At 40.3% G+C, this 26,761-nt stretch overlaps 2 protein-coding genes across 34 annotated transcripts in view; one reads left to right on the top strand and one right to left on the bottom strand.

Moving 5' to 3' along the window:
* The window catches only part of MDM2 (MDM2 proto-oncogene), a 42,515-nt gene extending 29,757 nt beyond the window's left edge, over positions 1–12,758 (top strand). For 3 of the 7 annotated variants that reach the window (NM_001145339.2, NM_002392.6, XM_047428853.1), the window contains one exon: positions 1,346–7,616. In NM_001145339.2, the coding sequence (NP_001138811.1) occupies positions 1,346–1,921 (576 nt within the window). In that variant the 3' untranslated portion in view covers positions 1,922–7,616. Of the gene's footprint in view, positions 1–1,345 lie in introns of all 7 variants that reach the window. The other 4 variants (NM_001145337.3, NM_001278462.2, NM_001145340.3 and 1 more) reach the window with 2 other exon arrangements.
* CPM (carboxypeptidase M) overlaps positions 4,269–26,761 on the bottom strand; it is a 121,273-nt gene continuing 98,780 nt past the window's right edge. For 21 of the 27 annotated variants that reach the window (NR_182143.1, NM_001413398.1, NM_001413393.1 and 18 more), the window contains 2 exons: positions 20,995–21,143; positions 13,247–18,751 (listed from right to left, as the gene is read on the bottom strand). Coding sequence is in view for 20 of the 27 variants with exons in the window: in NM_001413398.1 (NP_001400327.1) it covers positions 18,509–18,751; positions 20,995–21,143 (392 nt within the window). In the remaining 7 variants the exon portion in view is untranslated. Of the gene's footprint in view, positions 4,402–13,246; positions 18,752–20,994; positions 21,144–26,761 lie in introns of those variants that run through there. The other 6 variants (XR_001748580.3, NR_182142.1, XR_001748577.3 and 3 more) reach the window with 2 other exon arrangements.

Here is a 26,761-nt window from a genome sequence, read left to right on the forward strand (position 1 = left end):
TTTACTGTATTAGAAAATAAATAACTAATTGAATCATTTGATGTCAAGTTGAGTAAAATATTTTAGATACTTTTAATTTTTTAAATCTATTTTAAGACTCAAATTATTTTAGATATTCATCTTGGAATTTATTGGACTTTTTGATGCACTTTTACTCCCATATTGCAAGACCTTTTTCTTTGGTTTTATGAGCTGTGAAAAACCCCCTTCTATAACTTGAAAAAAGAAGAATGAATAGTCTATCTTTATTGCTCCTGTCTTAACATCATTTGTGAGGCAATCTCAAAATGGTTACGGAAATACCTCTTACTTAAGAGTTTTCACTTGTTAAATGTCCTCAGGCAAGAACCATGCTTCAGCTAAGGCAAGAAGATAGGTTATGTAAAAAGGCTGGGGATGTGGGAGAGTTTGTTATCCAAATTGCATGGTGGAAAGGTTTGTGGGATAAAACGTTGGGAAAAGGAAGAAGCATTGAGCAGTTACAAAGATGAGAACACAGGAAAGGATAGACAGGTAAAGGAAAGGATATTACGGTTAGTGACCAAGGATGATAGGTTTTAGCAGCAATACTTGCTGTGAAAAATGTTTTAGCATTTCTCTTGTGGATGGAGTTAGGGAATACTCAGTTAAGCCATGGTTTTAGAGTACTTCTAAGGTAGTTCTAGTCACTGGTGGATTAGGAAGTCTTTCTCGAGGAGGCAGGTTTCATCTAGATTGATGGGATGGACTCTTGGAATAGCGCCTAGGGTTGAGCCTTTAAGGGAGTGGATATAGGCTGCATGACAGAGTAAAAGATCCCATAGACTTGCTTCAACTAAAGGAAGCAACTGCATTTGTATCCTGAAACAGATAACTTTATAGGTACATGATTAATATCACATCACAGTTAATATATTTTTAGTTTAGAATTTTTCAGGATGGTAAGGGTGAAAAAAATGGGTGTACTTACTCTACTTTAGGAGAGACTGTTACATATTGACCTTTAAAAATCTGTTTTGTGTATAATTGAGACATATAACGTGATGTTTTGACACACATGTAAATAGTGAAATGATCACTACAGTCAAGCAAATTAATGTAATCCATTATCTTGAATAGTTAACCTTTCTTGTGTGTATGGTTAAAATACCTAAAATCTATTCTTTTAGTAAATTTCCAGTATACCAATATATAACTAACTATAGTCCTCATGCTGTTTACAGTGACTATTTTATATAAAACATGAAACACTGAATATTGAGCCCTATGATATACTTTACCTTAGACATAGCAAAGTTGCTAGCATTCCTGTGACTGAGCAGTTAAAGGGTTACAGAAACTGACTGTGTGTCTTATTTCATTGAAGGACTATTGGAAATGCACTTCATGCAATGAAATGAATCCCCCCCTTCCATCACATTGCAACAGATGTTGGGCCCTTCGTGAGAATTGGCTTCCTGAAGATAAAGGGAAAGATAAAGGGGAAATCTCTGAGAAAGCCAAACTGGAAAACTCAACACAAGCTGAAGAGGGCTTTGATGTTCCTGATTGTAAAAAAACTATAGTGAATGATTCCAGAGAGTCATGTGTTGAGGAAAATGATGATAAAATTACACAAGCTTCACAATCACAAGAAAGTGAAGACTATTCTCAGCCATCAACTTCTAGTAGCATTATTTATAGCAGCCAAGAAGATGTGAAAGAGTTTGAAAGGGAAGAAACCCAAGACAAAGAAGAGAGTGTGGAATCTAGTTTGCCCCTTAATGCCATTGAACCTTGTGTGATTTGTCAAGGTCGACCTAAAAATGGTTGCATTGTCCATGGCAAAACAGGACATCTTATGGCCTGCTTTACATGTGCAAAGAAGCTAAAGAAAAGGAATAAGCCCTGCCCAGTATGTAGACAACCAATTCAAATGATTGTGCTAACTTATTTCCCCTAGTTGACCTGTCTATAAGAGAATTATATATTTCTAACTATATAACCCTAGGAATTTAGACAACCTGAAATTTATTCACATATATCAAAGTGAGAAAATGCCTCAATTCACATAGATTTCTTCTCTTTAGTATAATTGACCTACTTTGGTAGTGGAATAGTGAATACTTACTATAATTTGACTTGAATATGTAGCTCATCCTTTACACCAACTCCTAATTTTAAATAATTTCTACTCTGTCTTAAATGAGAAGTACTTGGTTTTTTTTTTTCTTAAATATGTATATGACATTTAAATGTAACTTATTATTTTTTTTGAGACCGAGTCTTGCTCTGTTACCCAGGCTGGAGTGCAGTGGCGTGATCTTGGCTCACTGCAAGCTCTGCCTCCCGGGTTCGCACCATTCTCCTGCCTCAGCCTCCCAATTAGCTTGGCCTACAGTCATCTGCCACCACACCTGGCTAATTTTTTGTACTTTTAGTAGAGACAGGGTTTCACCGTGTTAGCCAGGATGGTCTCGATCTCCTGACCTCGTGATCCGCCCACCTCGGCCTCCCAAAGTGCTGGGATTACAGGCATGAGCCACCGCGTCCGGCCTAAATGTCACTTAGTACCTTTGATATAAAGAGAAAATGTGTGAAAGATTTAGTTTTTTGTTTTTTTGTTTGTTTGTTTGTTTGTTTGTTTTGAGATGAGTCTCTCTGTCGCCCAGGCTGGAGTGCAGTGTCATGATCTAGCAGTCTCCGCTTCCCGGGTTCAAGCCATTCTCCTGGCTCAGCCTCTGGAGCAGCTGGGATTACAGGCATGCACCACCATGCCCAGCTAATTTTTGTATTTTTAGTAGAGATAGGGTTTCACCATGTTGGCCAGGCTGGTCACGAACTCCTGACCTCAAGTGAGGTCACCCGCCTCGGCCTCCCGAAGTGCTGGGATTGCAGATGTGAGCCACCATGTCCAGCCAAGAATTAGTATTTAAATTTTAGATACTCTTTTTTTTTTTTTTTTTTTTTTTTTTTGAGACAGAGTCTTGCTCCATCACCCATGCTAGAGTGCAGTGGAGTGATCTCGGCTCACTGCAACTTCCGCCTTCTGGGTTCAAGCTATTCTCCTGCCTCAGCCTTCCAAGTAACTGGGATTACAGGCATGTACCACCATACCAGCTGATTTTTTTGTATTTTTAGTAAAGACAGGGTTTCACCATGTTAGCCAGGCTGATCTTGAACTCCTAAACTCAAGTGATCTACTCACCTCAGCCTCCCAAAATGCTGGGATTACAGATGTGAGGCACCTGGCCTCAGATTTTTGATACTCTTAAACCTTCTGATCCTTAGTTTCTCTCTCCAAAATACTCTTTCTAGGTTAAAAAAAAAAAGGCTCTTATATTTGGTGCTATGTAAATGAAAATGTTTTTTAGGTTTTCTTGATTTAACAATAGAGACAGGGTCTCCCTGTGTTGCCCAGGCTGGTCTCGAACTCCTGGGCTCAAGAGATCCTCCTGTCTTGGCCTCGCAAAGTGCTAAGTAGGATTACAGGCGTTAGCCACCACACCCGGCTGTAAAAATGTACTTATTCTCCAGCCTCTTTTGTATAAACCATAGTAAGGGATGGGAGTAATGATGTTATCTGTGAAAATAGCCACCATTTACCCGTAAGACAAAACTTGTTAAAGCCTCCTGAGTCTAACCTAGATTACATCAGGCCCTTTTTCACACACAAAAAAATCCTTTATGGGATTTAATGGAATCTGTTGTTTCCCCCTAAGTTGAAAAACAACTCTAAGACACTTTAAAGTACCTTCTTGGCCTGGGTTACATGGTTCCCAGCCTAGGTTTCAGACTTTTGCTTAAGGCCAGTTTTAGAAACCCGTGAATTCAGAAAAGTTAATTCAGAAATTTGATAAACAGAATTGTTATTTAAAAACTAACTGGAAAGATTGTTAAGTTCTTTCTGAATTATTCAGAAATTATGCATCATTTTCCTTCAAGAATGACAGGGTCAGCATGTGGAATTCCAAGATACCTCTTGACTTCCTCTCAAGCTCCGTGTTTGGTCAGTGGAGGCCCATCCGAGCTCAGCACTGAGAAGTGTTAGTTTCTTTGGGACCCATCTACCCTGACCACATCATGATGTTCATCTGCAGCTGTTGCAAGGTGTTCAGATTGTATAAACATAAATGTCACAAAAACTTTAAAAGAAGTGCAATTCTCAAAAGGTTAGGTGGACTAAAGCATTCTGTAAAGCAACTGCTAATAATGAGCTTACAGTGGATTTGAATTTGAAAAATATAGTAACAAGCCTGTCAAATATCTGCAAGAACTATGGAATAAAACTACTGATGCAGTGAAGACAGTTGAAAAGATCAAACAAATGCCAAGCTATATTTATAATGAACAAATTCAAGAAAAAGGACTACGGAAAGTTCAGGACATCAAAGAAGTCAGGCAAAACTCATCTTGACCCCTGTTGCAGGCAAAGGAACGCAGCTGGAAGAAAAGATGATATAACAGTTAACAGGATGCAGACATGGCAGAGGTTTCCTAAAAATCTCATTATCTATAACCATTTCTATATTTACATTTGAAAATCTCCTTTGGAGACTTAGAACCTCTAAATTATTGACTTATTTTTTATATAAGGTCACTCCGATGAAAGGTGATTACAAAATCATCTACATTGCTGTCTACAAAACAGATAATATGGATGTTTGATCGCATCTCATTGTTAACTCTTTACTGATATGTTTGTAAATACAGAAGTGAAATGTGGACATAAAATAGTTACGCTATTTGGTTAATGGTACTAGACAACATGTAATTAATGACATTCAAAAATTTATGGCTAGTGATATATATAAAGTAAAATTTTCTTTGCAGTAAAATATGCCCTTTATTATAGAAGGGAGGATATAAGGAACCAACAGTTTGTATGAAAATAGCTCAAATAATATCTTTTATTTTGATTTTAATATTTCTTATTTTGGTTTATTAGTGTCTTAGAACAAAATGGCCTTATATAATGAAGCCTAGTTATGCTGGACTGTTTTGATCTCTTTTAATTGTTCTGACAGATAGTTGGGGATGAGAGCCGAATAAGGTTTGCCTGAAATAACTGACACTATATAATTTCTGCTTTGGCAAATACTAAGTTCTAACTTGTCATTCCTGGTAGAACAAGCTTTATTTTTCGAGCCTAGCAATGATCTAGAAGCAGATGTTATCTCAGTGCCTTTTGCAATTTGTTGTGTGGGTTTTTTTTTTTTTAAAGCCACACAATAATTTTGGAAAACAATGTATGGGTAGAACATGTGTCTGTTAATTGCACACAAAACCACTTTTAATGGGTACAGAGTTAAATTTGAAGGAATAAGTTCTAGCTGAAGTATTATGAACTCCAAATAATGCTTTGAGGACCTCCAAAGGTAAAAGTACTAATCCCTTTGGCCATTTATTGAGAGAGAGAGAGAGAGAGAGTAGGGTGACTATAGTTAATGTATTGAATGTTCTTGCTACAAATAAATGATATTTGAGCTGATGGGTGTGCTAATTACACTGATTTGATCAATACCCATTGTATGTGAAACAGTACATACACCATATTTACAATTATGTATTTAACATTTAAAATTTCTAATATAAGTATCTCTCAAACTGTGGATTAACTTCTTGATTTATATTTAAATATGAATCTTAAGCAAAACAGTGAAAATAACCATCTTGATTTAGTGTTTTTCTCCCATATGTGAATTGTATATACTTAGGTGAAGACAATAAAATCAACTGAACTGTAAGCTTAGAATAGGACTGAGGTAATTCTGCACAGCAACTTTACTAATGGTACATTGTTGCTTCAAAACTCTCTCTCTCTCTCTCTGTCTGTCTCAATAAATGGCCAAAGGGATTAGTAGTTTACCTGTGGAGGTCCTCCAAGCATTATTTGGAGTTGATAATACTTCAGCTACAACCAAGCAGAATCTCTTTTTTTTGGAGGTCCTCGAAGCATTATTTGGAGTTGATAATACTTCAGCTTCAATTTGGAGTTGATAATATTTCAGCTAGAACCTAGTAGAATCTGTTTTTTTCCTTTGGAGGTCCTCAAAGCATTATTGGAGTTCATAATACTGAAGCTAGAACCAAGCAGAATCTGTTTTTTTCTGAGGAGTATCGGTAGCATAAATGTGATTATAAACATAGTACACTTGATATATGGAGGCAGTGACAGCTATTTTTACAAAATTTAAATCTGCAAATGGATTCAACATGTTTATGGGTTATTAAAATTGTCTGATTTCTTAGGTTCTTTATAGTACACGTGTTGAAAATAAATGATTAAGAATTGTTTCAAGAATGCAATTATTTGATCTTAAATTTTTATGAGTTGTTAAAATAGAAATTATTTGAATATCATATATTTGGGTAACAAAAGGCACAAGTCTGAATGTGTTTCTTTTTCTGGAATGGCCATGCCTGCCCACTTTAGAAATACAAATATCACTGGGCAGCTTGAAGCAGTTGGGAGCCTCCAATGAGAGCAACTTGAGAGAATGATGTTGCAAGTTAGTAGGAGTAAGAAATGCTGTGTTCTCCCTGTCTTCTCTTAGGTCACATGGCAGCCTGGCCTAAGTGATCGTGAATGGTCTATAAGGGAGGTAGCTGGGACAGGGAGGGGAGTTTGGGCTAGCCACCGTACCACTTGTCAGCGTGAAAAGTAAGATTGTAATTGCCTGTTTAGTTTTCTGCCTCATCTTTGAAAGTTCCACCAAGCTGGGAACCTCTTGATTGTGAGGCACAAATGTAAGTACATCAGAAAAAAACAAAAAAACTGGCTTTAAAGCAGGAGCTTGTGGGCCCCTAAGCCAGACGGGGACTAGCTTTTGGCATTATATAATTAAGATTTTTTAAATCCTTAATAAGGGTTTTATTTTATTTTTATTTATTTTTTGAGACGGAGTCTTGCTCTGTGGCTCAGGCTGGAGTACAGTGGTGCAATCTTGGCTCACTGCAACCTCTGCCTCCTGGCTGTGTTCAAGTGGTTCTGCTTCAGCCTCCCAAGTAGCTGGGGTTAGAGCACCCTGTCACCACGCCCCGCTAATTTTTGTATTTCTAGCAGAGATGAAGTTTCACTATGTTGGCCAGGCTGGGCTCAAACTCCTGACCTCAAGTGATCTGCCCGCCTTGGCCCCCCAAAGTGCTGTGATTACAGGCGTGAGCCGCCACGCCCAGCCTAATAAGGGTTTTAAAGATAATTAGTGTGTAGGTCTGTAGGCTTATGATGGTAACCACAAGTTGTTAATGGCATTGTGAAAAGTTTTTAGTTGCGCTTTATGGGTGGATGCTGAATTACATTTTGATTTGATACTTATAAAAAGAAAAAGTATTTCTTCAGCTTAAAAAATTGTTTAAAAGTTTGTGATCATATTGTCTACCATGTAGCCAGCTTTCAATTATATGTAAGAGGGACTTTTTGACATTTACAAATAATACTTTGAGGTAGATATCTGAAAGCACCAGCACTTGGAAGGTGTTCAGAAGTAACAAATTATAAAATGAGCTAACAAACGAAAGGCAAAATAAAACCGTAAAGCAAGCAGATGGGAGGCGTGTTCAGTAACTTATTCATAATGCATCTGAAATGATTGCTGTACTCAAATATTTAACGTTAGAGTAATAGTATTTTGAATGAAAACCATAGTTGATTGTCTTTAGAGAGAGGAGTGGTACTGAAACATACTTGAATTCGTATTGCTTTCCTTTAAAGCTCTCCTTTAAAGACTTTAAAAAAAATTCGATAGGCATTTTCATGTTTCAGTCCTACAATCCCACATCTCTGCTGCCTTCAGAATGCTACAACTTAGATGTCCAGCCAACAGCTTAAAGCCAATTTATAAAAATAGCATCTTTCCTAATTCCAAAATTTCACCTTTTGTTTGTTTTGTTTTGAGATGCGGTCTTGCTCTGTCGCCCAGGCTGGAATGCAGTGCTGCAAACATGACTCACTACAGCCTCAACCTCCTGGGCTCAAGCAATCCTCCCACCTCAGCCTCCCAAGTAGCTGGGGACCACAGGTGCAAGCCACCAGGTCCAGCTAACCTTCCCCCCACCTCCCCCGACCCCGCTGCCACCCGCCCTGAGACAGAGTCTTGCTCTTTCACCCAGACTGGAGTGCAGTGGTGCAATCTCGGCTCATTGCAACCTCCACCTCCCAGGTTCAAGCAATTCTGCCTCAGCCTCCTGAGTAGCTGGAATTATAGGTGCTCGCCAACCACACCTGGCTAATTTTTTTTGTATTTTTAGTAGAGATGGGGTTTCAGCATGTTGTCCAGGCTGGTCTCGAACTCCTGACCTCATGATCCGCCCACCTCGGCCTCCCAAAGTACTGGGATTACAGGCGTGAGCCACCGTGCCCGGCCTAATTTTTGTATTTTTTGTAGAGACAGTTTCACCATGTTGCCCAGGCTGGTCTCAAACTCCTGGGGTCAAGTGATCTGCCCGTCTTGGCTTCCCAAAGTGCTGAGATTACAGGTGTAAGCCACCACGCCAAGCCCAAAATTTCACCTTTTAAATTTATTCCATTTATTTTGTAGGTGAATTTCATTTATTTCTCAGGGTTAAATTTTAGCGCTTTTGCCTGTGTCTATTTTTGGTTCACACCTCCCCAGCCCACTGTCCTGTATTAAGTAGGCCTTCCTTCAAGATCACAGTAATATCTCCCTAAATGGATTTCACTACGTTTGGTCCTATTTTTGGTTCAGTTATAGTTTACAGATACCATCATGTTGCTTCCCTGATTTAAATATTGGGGGAAAAACTTGCTTTTTGGATTTTATCTCTGATGTTCTACTGGATTATTTTAGACTTTTAGAACACTATGAAATGGGTGCTTGCTTTTCACTTTTCAAACCTTTTTTGCTTAAACAAAGTTCATAAGCTTATTGTAGTGGGAAGTTCAAAGTCACAGATCTGGTACTTACTCGCCTAGTGACCTTAGAGACAATAAATCTATAGAGCCTAGTATGGGGTCTGGCAGGTAGTAAGCACTTTTAATGAATGGAAGTTTAATATTCTGTTTGCATCCACTCGACCATAATCACCCCAAATCCAGCTTAGGTAGCCTTGAATTAACCCCTACTCCACCTTGAAGTTTTTTATTTGTTTTTTGCTGAGACAGGGTCTCATTCTGTCACCCAGGCTGGAGTATAGTGGCGCAAACATGACTCACTGCAGCCTCCTGAGTAGCTGGGAACACAGGCCTGTTGCCACCATGCCTGGCTAATATATATATTATATATAATATACATATATTACATATATATATATAATACATATGTGTTTATGTATGTATGTGTGTGTACATTATATATATATATATACTTTTTTTAGAGGCAGAGTCCTGCTATGTTGCCCAGGCTGGCCTTGAACTCCTGGGCTCAAGCAATCCTCGTGTCTTGACCTTGACCTCTCAAAATGCTGGGATTACAGGTGCGAGCCACTGCATCTGGTGAATTAAGCCTTTTTTATACACTCAACTCTGAGGTATTCTGTTCATACCAATATGTTCCTTTGTATCTTCTTGCCATAGCAGGTTGTAACATCCTTTTGTATCTCCTTTCTTTTTTTTTTTTTTTTTTTGAGACGGAGTCCCGCTGTTTAGCCCAGGCCGGATTGCAGTGGCGCAATCTCGGCTCACTGCAAGCTCCGCCTCCCAGGTTCACGCCATTCTCCTGCCTCAGCCTCCCGAGTAGCTGGGACTACAGGCGCCCGCCACCGCGCCTGGCTAATTTTTTGTATTTTTAGTAGAGACGGGGTTTCACCGTGTTAGCCAAGATGGTCTCGATCTCCTGACCTTGTGATCCGCCCGCCTCGGCCTCCCAAAGTGCTGGGATTACAGGCGTGAGCCACCGCGCCCAGCCGTATCTCCTTTCAAATGTCAAATAAATACATTGTGTATACAGTAGTAAAGGATGTTGATTGGCATTGAAAGCAACTATCAAGTTCTTGTTGATTTAGAAGACAAAAAGACAATTTTAAAATAACATCCTGGGCCAGGCTCTGTGACTCACGCCTGTAATCTCAACACTTTGGGAGGCCAAGGAAGGAGGATCACTTGAGGCCAGGAGTTTGAGATCAGCCTGGGCAACATAATGACACCCTGTATCCAAAAAATTGTGGTGGCATGCATGGGAGACTGAGGTGGGAGGATCACTTGAGCCCAGGAGTCCAATGTTACAATGAGCTATGATTGCGCCACTACACTCTGCTTAGGAGACAGATGGAGACTTGTCTCTTAAAAAAATAAAAAATAACAGTATGTTCATTAAACATTAATCTCACTGATTGTGATTTTTTGTTTGTTTTTTTGAGATGGCGTCTTGCTCTGTTGCCCAGGGTGGAGTGCAATGGCGTGATCTTGGCTCACTGCAGCCTCCACCTCCTGGGTTCAAGTGATTCTCCTGCTTTAGCCTCCCAAGTAGCTGTGTTATTTCAGCTAATTTTTTCATTTTTAGTGGAGATGGGGTTTTGCCATGTTGGCCAGGCTGGTCTCGAATTCCTGACCTCATGTGGTCCACCTGCCTCGGCCTCCCAAAGTGCTGGGATTACAGGCATTGAGCCACTGTGCCTGGCCTGATTATGATTTTTTAAAGTCCCCCCCCAAATTATTGTTTGTGCAATAAATGGCAAAAAAGAAGCATTCTAAGAAAAAAGTAGTCTTAAAAGTTGATATGGTGTCAGAATTGTAAGAGAGAGGGTCTTGGCTGAAAAGCCTTTTTAGAAAAAATTGCTCCCTACAAAAAAGGCCTTTTCTACCTTTTCTCACATTTGTTTCTTTTTATAGGAGGCATCTGAGAAGACCAAATCTCTTCAAAGTTAAGCTTTTTGTTTTTTTGGGGGGGACGAAGTCTCGTTCTGTCACCCAGGCTGGAGTGTAGTGGCATGATCTCGGCTCACTGCAACCTCTGCCTCCTGGGTTCAAGCAATTCTCCTGCCTCAGCCTCCCGAGTAGCTGGAAATTCAGGCGCCTGCCACCATGCCCAGCTAATTTTTGTATTTTTAATAGAGGCAGGGTTTCACTATATTGGCCAGGCTGGTCTCGAACTCCTGACCTCATGATCCGCCTGCCTCTGCCTCCCAAAGTGTTGGGATTACAGGCATGAGCCACCGCACCCAGCCCAAAGTTAAGCATTTTTTAACCACAAGGTGGGAGGTGGAAGTATCTCGTTGGAAGACTAAAGGTGTCCACTAACGGTAGACCCTTTTTTTTTTTTTTTTGAGATGGAGTTTCACTGTCGCCCAGACTAGACTGAAGTGGCGCGATCTCGGCTCACTGCAACCTCTGCCCCCCAGGTTCAAGTGATTCTCCTGCCTCAGCCTCTAGAGTAGCTAGGATTACAGGGGTCCACCACCACACCTGGCTAGTTTTTGTATTTTCAGTAGAGACGGGGTTTCACCATGTTGGCCAGGCTGGTCTCGAACTCCTGACCTCAGGTGACCCACCTGCTTTGGCCTCCCAAAGTGCTGGGATTACAGGTGTGAGCCACTGCGCCTGGCCGTTTTTTTTTTTGTTGTTGTTGTTGTTTGTTCGTTTGTTTGTTTTGAGACAGTCTCTCACTCCAGGTTGGAGTGCAGTGGCACTATCTCAGCTCACTGCAAACTCTGCCTCCCAAGGTCAAATGATTCTCCTGCCTCAGCCTCCCAGTAGTTGGAATTACAGGCGCATGCCACCATGCATGGCTAATTTTTTGTATTTTTAGTAGAGACGGGGTTTCACCATGCTAGCCTTGAACTCCTGACCTTGTGATCTGCCTGCCTCGGCCTCCCAAAGTGCTGGGATTACAGACATGAGCCACCATGCTAGCCTTGAACTCCTGACCTCGTGATCTGCCTGCCTCGGCCTCCCAAAGTGCTGGGATTACAGACATGAGCCACCATGCCTGGCAAATTTTTGTATTTTCAGTAGAGATGGGGTTTTGCTATGTTAGCCAGGCTAGTCTCGAACTCCTGACCTCAGGTGATCCAGTCGCCTCGGCCTCCCAAAGTGCTGGGATTACAGATGTGAGTCACTACGCTTGGTAGACTCTTAACAGCGCTGAGAGACCACTCCAAGAGAGCAGAGAAATAATAGTTCTATTCTCAGTTGTCAAACAGCAAACAAAAAACCCTTGGCTGGGGGGTGATGGCTCACCCCTGTAATCCCAGCACTTTGGGAGGCTGAGGTGGGTGGATCACTTGAGGCCAGGAATTCAAGACCAACCTGGGCAACATGGTGCAACCCTGTCTTAACTAAAAATACAAAAATTAGCCAGGCGTCATGGCATGTGCCTGTTAATTCCAGCTGCTCGAGAGGCTGAGGCATGAGAATTACTTGAACCTGGGAGGTGGAGGTTGCAGTGAGCCGAGATCCCACCACTGCACTCCAGCCTGGGTGACAGAGCGAGACTTCGTCCCAAAAAAAAAAAAAAAAGCTGCAAATTTAAACGTTGAAGTCTAGGTAAATATACCAGGGAACTTCTGCTTAAGAGGCTTCTATGTAATGAAATTCTCTTGAAAACAGAGAAACTATTTCCTGTTTATTTTCTAAATTGAGACGTCACTTTTTAAAAATTGGTACCTGTAATTTAGCCATTTCCTACTCAGCAATGTCTCATTTAAACTATTATTTGTTTAGCGTGTTTCAAAGAGCAGATGTAAGCTTGAGCCCATCCTCTGTCCTATGACTAAGTCGATATTAGCAGGGGTTAGGACTGTTAGTTTTCCAGTTCCTACTGGAGGCAAATTCTTTGTTTACCACTGTTCTCTGTATTTCAAAAGCACCTGGAAATCAATAAAATTTGTTATTCAGAACAAAAGCCTTCTCTATATATCAGTATTTCCCAAAATGTGTTTGGAAATATAGGTATGTTAATCCAAAGGGATGGTACGAGGCTGTATTATTTAAGGAAATGGTCCCATAGCTTAGCATGTTTGGGAAATCCATTTCTTTTCTGCATTTCTCAGATTCTTTATTACATTAATATAAATTGTGAATTTTCAAATATTTTTTCTGACCAGAAGGCATACTTTCCATCCATCATCTTGTCCATGGAACACACTGCCCCACAACACAAATTAATTTGGAATGTATTATATATAATATATATAACATATAGCATATGTAACTTGTTCTGGAAGAACTATCTGGACTTTGAAGAGTTGTTGCAATGTTATTGCCTCATAAAAGGTCATTAAGTTTGGTCTTTCCCAAGCTTTATTTGGTGGTAATCAGTTATTTTTAGTGGACTTTGTTATACTTGCATAAGTACTTATTTTCAGGTAACATAATGGGAAAAAAGCATTATTTATATGGATATTAGTTCTTTATTGAGAATCAGAAATATTTTAAATTTACTAAATTCAGAGGTAGTCATGGCCTCTCCCCAATAAACTTTACAGTCTTAGACAATTTGTGCATTTTAATAAATTCTTAGTTATAGTATTAAAGAAAGTGGCTGGGCGCGGGGGCTCACGCCTGTAATCCCAGCACTTTGGGAGGTCCAGGCAGAGGCAGGCAGATCATGAGGTCAGGAGATCGAGACCATCCTGGCTAACACGGTGAAACCCCGTCTCTACTACAAATACAAAAAATTAGCCGGGCGTGGAGACAGGCACCGGTAGTCCCAGGTACTCGGGAGGCTGAGACAGGAGAATTGCTTGAACCCGGGAGGCAGAGGTTGCAGTGAGCCGAGATCACGGCACTGCACTCCAACCTGGGTGTTAGGGCGAGACTCCGTCTCAAAAAAAAAAAAAAGAAATAAAAAAAGTTACCAGGAAAACTGGTAAGATCAGCTATAAAACATCTATAAAAGGCAATGGAGTAGTTCATATGCAAAAGTATGATAAAATGGTGAGCAATACTGTACAGTATCTGCTTATTAGTTGATATAATGTAAAGTCTATAACAAACCCAAACTTCTACTTTAGCTACAGTACTGTGGACTTTCAATGCTCTTTAACTAGTCTGGTCATCATAATTTTCTCCCCCTTCCCCCTTCTAAAGTCATGAGGAAAATATAAAGGATCTATCATAAAATATACATCAACTGTATTGTTACCATATAGAATAACAACCAGACTTCTCAATAAGCAACTTATCTATTGCAGTAAGACAATATGCTATGCTTATCTTTCTGGATTCCCCAGGAAGAGATACTTCCAATCTAACATCAGATATTTTTACTTTCTAAACAGAGCTAACTTGTACCATTTTTAGAAACAGATCACAAATGCAAATTTGCTTCTGGAACAAAACATAACATTGATTTCTTGGAAAGACTTTTGGAAATGTTGAGAAAAAGCTTTTAACATTTCAGATACATCCAACAGTTCATGTCTGAATGTAATTAAGCATCCAAATCAACACTGTCATTTATCTGCAGGGACTTAATGTTTTTCTAAAATACTCTTTGCCATTTAGATTCAATCATGTCAACATTTACCAACATTTGAGTAGGTATACTCTTTAAGAAGGTATATTATACTGCCTTCAAAATACTTATTACCTGAGTGTTAACTATCATCTTTCCTCCACCTGAACAAGCACCAAAAATGTAGCATCTCTTACCAGTCACAGAATCACCGTTCAGCGTGGCGGGGGGTGGTCTCCATTTTACAGATAAAGAAACTGAATGTGTGGCGGATTTGAATCCAGGGCTTCTGCCTTTTTTCTTTCTTTCTTTTTTCTTTTTTTTTTTTTGAGACAGAGGTTCGCTCTGTCACCCCGGCTGGAGTGCAGTGCAGTGATGTGATCTTGGCTCACTGCAACCTCTGCCTTCTGGGTTCAGGCGATTTCTCCTGCCTCAGCCTCCCAAGTAGCTGGGATTACAGGTGCCTGCCACCACGCCCGGCTAATTTTTGTATTTTTTTTTAGTAGAGATGGGGTTTCACCGTGTTGGCCAGGCTGGTCTCGAGCTCCTGACCTCAAGTGATCCGCCTGCCTCAGCCTCCCAAAGTGCTGGGATTACAGGCATGAGCCACCGTGCCTGACTGCTGCTTTCTAAATACCATTTCACTCCCACATTTTTCTCCCATCATGAAAGTGTGTATCAGGTTGGTTTCTCTATAAAAGGAATTATAGCTGAACTAGAGCTGGAGGAGCATAACCACCAGCCCAAGAGGGAGGGGAAAAGCCGGAAAGGCGTTGGGCAGGGAGGTGGCTTGGGTACCTGGTTTGACCACAGTTAGAATATCATGATTGTGTTTTGTTAGTCTTTAAATGATTTTGAGTCTGATAGATAACTAAATTCTGATTTTAAAAACTATTTCAGCAAGAGATTTACATTAAGGCTCATGAACTAATTCAGATTTTTGTTCGTGTCTCTTCAAAAATTGCTATCTTAGAAAAGTTAGAATTCAATGCCCAGTTGAAAAATTGCTTGGGGCTTGATAGCAAATCAAGTTTCATCTTATATACTTTTAATTTGTAATATACCAAAGTCATTTTTGCAATACTATATTATGTACTTTCAAGTATATAATTACTGCTTCTTTAAATACAAATGATCAAGATATTCAGATTATTATGAGTTTTTTTTGGTTATCATCTATTGCTGCTGCACAAATTACCAGATTTCATAATTGGTTTAAATAAGCCTCCAATTTGTTTATATTTATTAACATGTATGATTTTGTGCATGTAGAATAAGCTTGGCATAGAAATGGCCTAAATGCTCCTGTAGCTCTTCATTCCTTTGTCGTTCTCACTCTCCATGCCAGTATGTCTCATTTCTAGATCCCATAGAACTTTCAATTGAAAGTAATAACCAAGGCAACTCACTTTCCATGAGTAATACACCACACTTCTAGAAATCAGCCTATATTACTGTCACACTGGGGATTAAGTAAAAAAAAGAGAAAGAAGGATGGGAAGGGGAGGGAAGGGGAGGGGAGCGGAGGAAAGAAGAAAAGGAAGGGAAGGGGAGGGAAAGGGAGAGAAGGGGAGGAGAGGGAAAGGAGGGAGGAAGGTAGGAAGAGGAGAAGGAAGGAAGAAAGGAAAGAAATCTGCTCACCAGAGTTGCTATTTTTTTTTTCTTTTCTGTTTAGTGCTTTACCCCTTAATTCTTATAGGTAACGGTCTAATACAGGGTAACTCTCATAGTGGAGAACTTGAGAAGCATTAGTACTTCAAATTGAGTCCTAATGGTAAAATTTTTTTCTGATAAAAAAAGGTACTTTGTAGTGCTGTTAGGAGGTAACATAATACCTTTACTACCAATCTTAGGATCAATTCAAGGTTCAGTAAAAGGAATGTATCTGGAATTCTTGATTATAGACATGAAAACACTCTTCTGTCAGCGTTCATAGTGAGCTGGGAGGTTGCCTACGCATTAAGACCTAGCTTCATAAAATGACTCAAAGCCCTAGGCAGTTTCTGGGAAGGACTGGGAGTAGCAGTCTCCTGGCACCCCTTGTTCATTCATTCATTCAGTACCTACTATGTGCTAGGCTTTGAGGATATAACAATGAATTTTTCAAACAAATTAAATAGACCTTGGCCTCAAAGAGCTCACATTCTACTAGAGAAGGCACACATGGAGAAGATTATAATACAATGTTGTAAATCCAATAGTAGAGATAACCAGTTTATTTTGGGGAGCAAAGAGAAAGGGTCCCTAACCCCAGACTGCCTGCGAAGAGGTGAAATGGAATTGAATGGGATTATGGTCAGCCAAGGCTTCCTAGTGGAGCTGCTACCTGAACTGAGTTTTAAGAGGGGTAGGAAAGAAAAAATGTAGTGGGTCATAATGGCATTCCAGATACAGGGGACACAAACAGCTCTGTGTTTATGAACTACAACCAGTTGTTGACTTTTGTTTCAAGTGGCTCCCCTTCCCCAGTGCTGTGTGGACGATGGACTGAAGAGGAGAAGGCTGGGAGCAAGGGACCAGTAAGCTGTTGCAGCAGTGCAGGTGAGATATGAGGCCTCAACTCTGCAGTGTTGACAACCATAGAGAGCAGAGAGCAGAATTCATCAATATTTATCAGCACCAATTTTTTTTTTTAAGACAGAGTCTCACTTCTTCACCCAGGCTGGAGTACAATGGCGCAATCCCGGCTCACTGCAACCTCTGCCTCCCAGGTTCAAGCGATTCTCCTGCCTCAGCCTCCCCAGTAGCTGGGATTACAGGCATGCACCACCACGCCCGACTAATTTTTTTTTTTTTTTTAGTAGAGATGGGGTTTCACCATGTTGGCCAGGCTGGTCTTGAGCTCCTGACCTCAAGTGATCCGCCCGCCTTGGCCTCCCAAAATGCTGGGATTACAGGCATGAGCCACCATGCCTGGCCAACACCAACCTTTAGTTACTTGCTGAATACACAGGATTAAGGAGGAAGAGAAAGTATCAAGGATGACTCCCAGGTTCCTAGCTTGGTGGTCCCAGTAATTGAGAGAGAGAATGCAGCAGGAAGAGCAGCTCTAGGGGGAACAGGATGAGTATCTCCACATGATGGGTTGGAGGTACCTGTGAGTCACATCCAGGTGGATGTGTCCTGTGGGCAGTGGGACGCGAGTCTGAAGCTCAGGCAAGAGGCTAGAGTTACATCTTTGGAGTCATCAGCCTAATGGAGGACTGTGGCATCCAGGTGCCAAAAGCTAGGGAAACGGCTCTGGAGAGAGAGGGGCTTTCTTAATTGACCTGTATGCTTTGAAGCTCTATAGAGACACAATCTTATCCCTTCAGGCCTGTATTTTCTTGGGCCACTAAGATGTGGTTACATATTTTCTCTCACATCTCCTAGAACGTTTGCAAAACAATTCCCAGTCCTATGATCATTTCTCCCTTCTTCTGAGAACTAATTATATATGGCACTTAATATCTATTCACATGTAGCACTCATGGTGAGGTGTTTTTTTTGTTTGTTTGTTTTTGTTTTTTTTTTTTTGAGACAGAGTCTTACTCTGTTGCCCAAGCTGGAGTACAATGGCACTATCTCGGCTCACTGCAAACTCCGCCTCTAGGGTTCAAGCGATTCTCCTGTCTCAGCCTCCTGAAAGGCTGCGATTACAGGTGCCCGCCACCACACCCCGCTAATATTTAGTAGAGACAGGGTTTCACCATGTTGGTCAGGCTGGTTTTGAACTCCTAACCTCAGGGTGATCCGCCCACCTTGGCCTCCCAAAGTGCTGGGATTACAAGGTGTGAGCCACTGCTCCTGGCCTTATGGTGAAGTCTTGTATGTAGAAGATCAATAAATGTTCATCTTCATTGCTTATATTCATCCGGTTCTCTGTATACAAAATGATCTTCTTTTTGCAGGCATTTTTTTGCTTCTCAAGTTTTAACTTCTTACACATTTTAAGACTACTTCAAGATTAATTTGAGTGTAAATGAGCAGTACTTGTTAGGTAAGTGTCTTCCATTCACCGTCAAGACTGAATCATTCTTTTCATTATCACCACATATTGCTTATTGTGGAATTTGGAAACATCCATTTCTCTTCTTCAGGAAGATCGTGGAGTTTCTCCAGTCAAGGTCCCACTAGAGTGAGTTAGGGTTGCAGTAACCTGGAGTGAGCAATCCCTGATTCCAGGTGGTGATGTGGGTTGAGTTTCACATTTTACTTTATTTGAAGAATATGTGCAAAAGACTCACTAAAAATAAGAACAAACTAGGCTTTGTTGCAGCTGAGTGGTCTGGCAAATTTCTGTATAGAGGAATCATTGGGCATGAAGGATTTGATACTGGGATAGAATCCAATTGCCCTTGGAATGGAAGTAGAATATCCTTTTTAAGAGCACTGAAGTTCTGGGATTTCTCCGGAATAATCACCTTTGTGATGTGTGGATCATGTCCAGGGACTGTAACCTGAGAAGAAACAAGAGACAATTATATGAGTGACTTAAGATGGTTCGTGGTGCCCACACTGAAAACACTGATATCCATCACTAAAATGCAGCCTTTGTGCAATGCATGTAACAATCTACCAGACCTCTGGGCCAGCAACAGATTTGGTCCTGCAGGCTGAGTTATCCAATGCCTGTTGACAGAGACCAGCGTTGTGAATGCTGTTGCCAAGAATTACAAAATGAAATAAGGACAGATGGGTACCTCATCTGGCAATGTAAGTCAAGAGAAGGAAGCAGCAGATGTTTCTGCCACCATCCTTTTCGTGGGGCAGAAGGGTAAAGAGATAACTCTTTCCCTTTGTCCCAAGTGTGTATTTAACATCCTCCTTGGATATCAAGATTATTTTCAAGTAGAATTATTTTCTCAACTTACTAATTTCTTTTCAGCTGACCTACAAGCCTATTGCTTCTTTTAAAAGCTTTTCTTTCTTTCTTTTCTTTTTTCTTTTTTTTTTTTTGAGATAGAGTCTTGCTCTGTCACCCAGCCTGGAGTACAGTGGCTCAATCTTGGCTCATTGCAACCTCCGCCTCCCGGGTTCAAGCGATTCTCCTACCTCAGCCTCCCAAGTAGCTGGGATTACAGGTGCATACCACCATGCCCAGGTAATTTTTTGTATTTTTAGTAGAGACAGGGTTTCACCACATTGGCCAGGCTGGTCTTGAACTCCTGACCTCAAGTGATCCACCTGCCTCTCAGCCTCCCAAAGTGCTGAGATTACAGTCATGAGCCACCACATCCACCCTCCTTTAAAAGCTTTGATTTTACCTGGTTTTGTTCATATCAGCCTGAATCTTTGGTTAGGCTTTCTTTTTTTTTTTAGTGGAGGAAATGATCAGGACAAGACAAATGCTAAACTAACTACAGGCAATGTCTACTGAGAAATGCTTTTATTATATATGGTGGAGAAGGGAAAAAATGGGGAATGACATTTACATAACCACTCATTGGTATGTATTTTACACATTCATTTCAATGTCCAGAGTCTTACCTTCAAATATTATCCTAGAACTAATATCTAGGGTCAATGTGTACTGTGTTAGTCTAACTAATGGGAAATGAACAATTCATAACTTTATTCTAAAGGTGTGGCTTATTTATGAGGTTGCATATAAGTTTAGATTCACTACAGGGAAAATCATATTTTTAAATAGAATAGAAATATCACAGTAAATAGGAGGAAAATAAAGGGCCTTTTTAGACAAAGATTCACAGTGAGTTGAGATTTTTCAAGCTCTATCCATTTTCTCGGCAGGAGTAGAAATTCCTAAAAGGATTAGCAATTGATAAGCCTCACATCTAGGCACCTTGGGGAGAACCCATGGAGCATGGAGGCTCTGAATTCTATAGTTTTATAAACTAAAAACCATGTTTTTTCCATGATGTCCTCAAGATGAAATAATAAAATACCAACTCAGTTTTCACTACAGAAGAGATGACTACCTTCTCCCAGGATTAGCTCTATATAGAATGACTGCTATGGTTGGCATAAGCCCCACTAAGCAAAATAGAAGAATCCTGAATTTCTCAGAGAAATTCACATCAAAGAGAAAGAGGCAAAATCTGGCCAACTATATCAATACTTATTCATTTAGTTCTTTCACATAAATCCACTCAGGCTCAAATTAGTCCATGCCTTCCTGTCTTCGGATAAAATGACTCAGAAATATATATTTTATGGAATTAAAGACTGAAATTTTACTTGCATCGATGAAAAAAGGGCTGCAAAATATGTTTATCATTTGCTGAATATAGTGTTAAAATTTGTGGATCAGATTTCACTTATAAAATGAATTCTAAGGAACTTTATCCAATTCATTTTTTATAGTAGAAAGTGTATGCCGTGGAATGGGTGTTGTGTCGTATCCTGGGAAACTATAAACTACCTTTGCTACATTGCTTATTCTTTATTATTAATCGGGTTACATTTTAATCATAAAAGATATCACAAGAGATAGGATTTGGCTTCCATTTTTTAAAAATTGCCATCAGGGAAAAAATATGAATTTTTGTGGTTTTTTTTTTTTTCATATAATTTCCACCTCTTCCACCTCCTGCCAATTGCAAGTCTGACACTATCCTTTCTTTCTGTCTCGATGGATCTACTTTTGAACTTCCTAGACTTATTTTGGATTCCTTCTGGGTGAATAAGTATTATGAGTTCTATAATATTTTAATAACAATAACTAGCATTGCATACTTACATTTATTATATAAGACCCAGGCAAGAGAAGGAGATAATACTCTCCATATTTGTTGGTTCTATAGGGGCAGATATGTTTTCTGTCTTGGACTTCCACAATTACATTGGGTAATGGATTTCCATTCTGATCAAAAACTTGACCCTTTACACCTGCAAGACAAAAATAAAATTAAATATTAATACCATATTTTATGGCATATAAAAATTATTATAAATATTTAAGAACAATATATGCAATATTTATTAGCTAACTCAATGTTGTGAGTTAATATTAAGTGTTAGAGAGGGAAAAAACTTATTTTTGATGTAACTTAAAATACAGTCAAAATTACTAATCTGATTTATAGCTTAAATTTGTTCGTTGTTGAATAGCCCATTTATATTAGTACGTATTATCACAGTGAGAGAACACAGATGACAACCTAAGATCCATTCCTGTCACTTCCAAGTTATTTACTCAGTCACCAAACTGTACTACAACCATTGGTGGATTCCATAAAATCCTAAATAAAAACGGTGTCAATGTATTAGTTACAACAAAATATTTACGTGTGCGAGGGACTCAATAGTTTTGTCTTGTAGTGCAACTACATGGGAAGCAAAATTATAATCACAAGGCTTCTTGGAAGCATGGAATCGATTGGCCAGTAACAGCAGCCAATATTTATTGAGCACTTAGTATATTCCAGGCTCTGTACTAACTACCAAATGAGCATTTTCTCATTAAATTCTCATATCAGCTCTGTGTCATCAATTATTATCATGATTTTACAGATGAAAAAAACTAAGGCTCTGGCTTATTAAAATAACCTCCTCAAACTCACACAGCCAACGAAGTGGCCCAGCCTAGCCGTCAACCCATGATAGTCTCGACAGCCCCTCTCAAAATTTCAGGAGTACAATTTTTAAAAAGCCATTTATATTTTAAGACCTTTCTTATTTTAGATCCTACGTGTCACATCTAGTTTGTTTACTCCAGCGTCAAATCATATTACCTTAAGGTGAAGCTGCCTAAGTCCCCAATAACATAAATGAGAATGAAGAGCTACAATAGTAAGATGATCTTGAACTCTCCCCAAACAGTTATGCTCAATAATTATTTATTAGGGCAGAAAAATACGAGGCACACGTAACAGTTTCCCCCAGAAACGGTTAAAGTGAAAAATAAAAATTTTGGCATTTAGCAAAACAATGTTTATCTTGAACTTCAACAAACTTCTATCTGACCTAGGTTGCCTTTTATTATACTTTCTGTCCTATTTAGTTCCTGACTCTTCATTTTTTGTCTCCTGAGGAGGAAAATGCCACATTTCCTTCTCCCTTTCTCTATACAACTGTGTAAACTTCTATTTTCACTTCGTGTGTTCCTCTTTGCCCTCTCTTTTTTAAACACAGTTCCATTTATATTTATTCCTACTGCTTGATACATATCCTTTTGATGTTTAGGTAGTACCCAATCATAAATTGGTAATAATTTGGTAACCTGATTACGCATTTATTCCTTGGGTTTCAGTGGCATTATTTTGTTTTATTTAATTAATTAATTAACTTTTTGTAGAGATGGGGTTTCACCATGTTGCCCAGGCTTGTCTTGAACTCCTGGGCTCAAGCAATCCACCTGCCTAAGCTTCCCAAAGTGCTGGGATTACAGGTGTGAGGCACCACACTCAGCTTCAATGGCATTATTTTGAAGAGCTATTTACACTGTGCCCCCCTTAGGAGGTCCTTTGATATGTGATAAATATAGCGTGTACCCATCATCATAGCTTGGTGTGACAGAAAGAACCTAGTCAGGTTTTGATTTGAATTCTAGTTCTCAAGTCACTGAACATTCCCAAGCCTCAATTTTATCACCTATGAAATGGGGATAATATACCACCACCCAGGATGGTTGTGAAGATTAAATGTAAGTAACACAGAACAGGAGGATCAACAAACATTAATTCTTGCTTTCCTTTCTTCTTCTTTTTTTTTTTTTAGACAGGGTCTTGCTCTGTCACCCAGGCTGGAGTGCAGTGGTGTGATCAGGGCTTACTGCAGCCTTGACTTCCCATGCTCAAGCAGTCCTCCCACCTCAGCCTCCCAAGTAGGTGGGACTACAGGCACACACCACCACACCTGGCTAATTTTTGTATTTTTTTGTAGAGGTGGGGTTTCGCCATGTTGCACAGGCTAGTCTTGAACTCCTGAGCTCACATGATCTACCTTGGCCTCCCAAAGTGCTGGAGTGCAGGGATTATAGGTGTGAGCCACCAGGCCTGGCTTTCTTTCCTTTCCTCTTATTTGGATTAAGAAAAACTATGTGGTGTGGCGGGGGGAGAATATATTAGATGAATTTCTGGAGTCTTAATTCAACTTTGTTCCACAAAGCAGGAATATGTGAGGGAAGAAGCTATGCATATTATTTCCTTTTCCAGGGCTCTGAGCTAGTTTACAGTCTTCATGCCACTTAGAAAATCCATGCGTTTCAGCAAGGTAACTTGTGCTGGATGGTGTTGTGTCTGTTGGCATCTTTTGTATTTTTTGTTGACTTCCCCAAAACCAACCAAATCGAAGAAAATCAAGTGCATAAAAAATGAAGCAGAGCTATCATTGAAACTGACATTACACAATTTTTTGTTTTTTTTTTTGAGATGGAATTTTGCTGTTGTTGCCCAGGCTGCAATGGCGCGATCTCAGCTCACTGCAACCTCTGCCTCCCGGGTTCAAGCAATCTCCTGCCTCAGCCTCCTAAGTAGCTGGGATTACAGGCACGCACCATCACGCCCATCTTATTTTGTATTTTTAGTAGAGACAGGGTTTCTCCATGTTGGTCAGGCTGGTCTTGAACTCCTGACCTCAAATGATCCGCCCGCCTCAGCCTCCCAAAGTGCTGGGATTACAGGCGTGAGCCATCGCGCCCGGCTAACATTACACCATTCTTTAACATTGGAGATAATGATGAAATAGAATTCAGGGTACTAGTAATGAGTAGTTGGCAGAAGACACCAAAAAAAAAAAAAAAAAAAAAAAAAAGTCATGGTACCCTTTAAAAAAAGGCAGCAAATTTCTTCTTGGCTAGAAGCAGTTACACTTTAATAGAACAGATTTGACTTTTTTGACAGTCACATGACAGTGATTTTGGATGGCCTCAGGGACTTGAACAACACCTACGTATCAGTGTGTGCTGCAGCTGAATCAAGGCTCCAGTCAACCTGCGGTCTGCCTACCCTCAAAGATAGAAAAAGGAAGAACAATTTGCATTTGAAGAAATGTCTGAAAATCTTCATATTCCAGTTTGACCCTCATTCGTCATCCCCTAATAACCCAAAGATTCACTTTCTTTTTTTTTAAATTGAAGTCTCCCTCTGTTGCCCAGGCTGGAGTGCAGTGGCACCAGTTCGGCTCACTGCAACTTTCATCTCCCGGGTTCAAGCGATTCTCCTGCCTCAGCACCCCAAGTAGCTGGGATTACAGGTGCCCACCACCACACCTGGCTAATTTTTGTATTTTTAGTAGAGATGGGTTTCACCACGTTGGCCAGGCTGGTCTCGAACTCCTGATCTCAAGTGATCCGCCCACCTTGGCCTCCCAAAGTGCTGGGATTACAGGCCCAAAGACTCACTTTCATATGACTCTTACCTAAACCTAAAGATGGTTCTTCCAGCTATGGAAGCCTGGGGTATGCGAATATCACTGTTACTGGGCAAACACAGACCATGCTTATGTATGGAATTTATATTCAAAGGAAAACCCCTCCCACCAGCCAAATAAAAGCGTGCTTTAGCTTGTATATGTCTTTACAATATTTTGTCTACATACCACCAAACCTTTTACTTAAGAGGGAAGTAATTGTTTTACCAGAAAATGTGATTTATTTCTATATGCTGAAGTTGAAACATTGAAAAAAAGACTGGTAGACCCTAAGAGACGCAGAGAGAGCCAACACTATATTAAAAAAAAAAAAAGGAAAATTTGAAAAATGCTCAGATACAATACAAATGAGAAGACATAAAATCTGAGATATAAATTCTGTGGCCAGATGGGGAGATACATGGGAGAAATGTAAAGCTCTTTTTCCCTTGGAAATGGATTAGAGCTTCATGAATGAAAAGTCTTGGCTGGGCAAGCACTAGAATTCTGCATCTGTTGGCCACAATTTAGAGTCGGAGCTGGGACAGTACTTAGGAGACTGCTTGTTTGTGCCCATGTCCCCACCGCATGGTCACAGTTGCCTCCTATTTTGGATGTGATAACAGATCCACATCTGTGGCTCACAGGCTTCTGGAACTCAGCACATACCAGATTCTTTTATGCCCAGGTTGCTTAGGTTTCTGGATGCTGTGAGCCATTCCCTTGCTCTCTAGGTTCAGATCTGCTTTGAGGAGTCCAGGGGAAAGACAGGGCCGCAGCAGGCAGGTAACACCGTGTCTGGCTCATCTTTGCTTCTCCTCAGAGACCGGGACAAGCAAGACATTTTAAGCCTCTAGAATTCAGACTTGCCCTCCTTTGCTACTTTGGTTTTAATGTCTGCCGACACCCTCATCTCAACTTGAACCTAGTAAATCATCCTCTAAGCAGGACAACACAGCACCAAGGGGCCCGAGTTTCAGTTGAGGTCTGCAGTGAGTTCTAATTGAAGGAATAACACCACTGAAGCCTTAGAACAGGCTGGTGGGAGGCAAGGCTGATGCTATTACTCTCAACTTTCTGTTGACTACACTGAGATTCAGACAAGTGCTTGCTCAAGATTGCAAACATCGCCAGATGACAAAACAGCTTGGGCTCTACCTAAGCCTCTACCCTCTTGGCAAGGCCCTTCCACTAAAGCAGAAGGCCTTTCCTTCCCAGACAAGGTGGCTCAGAGACTTCCAGATGGGTCAAAACCTCAGAAACTCAGAAGCATCCTAGCAATTGGTAAAATGGAACCAGTAAATGCAATGCAGTTTGACGAATATCAATAATGTCTTTAAACCAGAGCAATACCAATAAAGGGGTGTTTGCTGCCATTCTTCACAAACAAAATATTCATTAGTTTCTTATTGGGCACTAGTAGGGAGAGAACCTTTCTATTAAGTAGTAATAACCACACTGTATTGGTATTTTGAAATATGGTTTCATTATTAAACCATGTTATGCATCTGTCTTAAACCACAAGGGGGCAGGGTTGATGTGCCAATATATGTATTTTTTGAGTGAGTTGTTTGCATCTGATTATAGAGACAGGCAGATACACATTCTTTATAAAACCTAATGCAAATGGGCTGGGCATGGTGGCTCATGCCTGTAATCCCAGCACTCTGGGAGGCCGAGGCCGGCGGATCACCTGAGGTCAGGAGTTCAAGACCAGCCTGGGCAATATGGTGAAACCCTGTCTCTACAAAAATACAAAATTAGCCGGGCATGATGGTGGGTGTCTGTAATTCCAGCAAATTGGGAGGCTGAGTGGGAGAATCACATGAACCTGGGAGGCGGAGGTTACAGTGAGCCGAGATCATCACACCATTGCACTCCAGCCTAGATGACAGAGCGAGACTCCGTCTCAAAAACAAAAAAACAAAACCTAGTGCAAATGGACTGGTAAGCCTTCCAAATTATTAAAAATAATAATAGGTATACTGCAATTTATATTGCCCTTTCCCTGGCAATATTACATCAACATGATACTTCAAAGCCCACCTTAATTCAGTGCTTGGTAAATAATCTTTACAGCTAGATTGAGGTTCTGAAAATAGTAGTGCAGTTACACAGAGCATATTTGATGTTCACTTGCACGCCCATACCCATGT

Source organism: Homo sapiens, chromosome 12 (assembly GCF_000001405.40).
Source record: "Homo sapiens chromosome 12, GRCh38.p14 Primary Assembly".
Taxonomy (NCBI): Eukaryota; Metazoa; Chordata; class Mammalia; order Primates; family Hominidae; genus Homo; species Homo sapiens.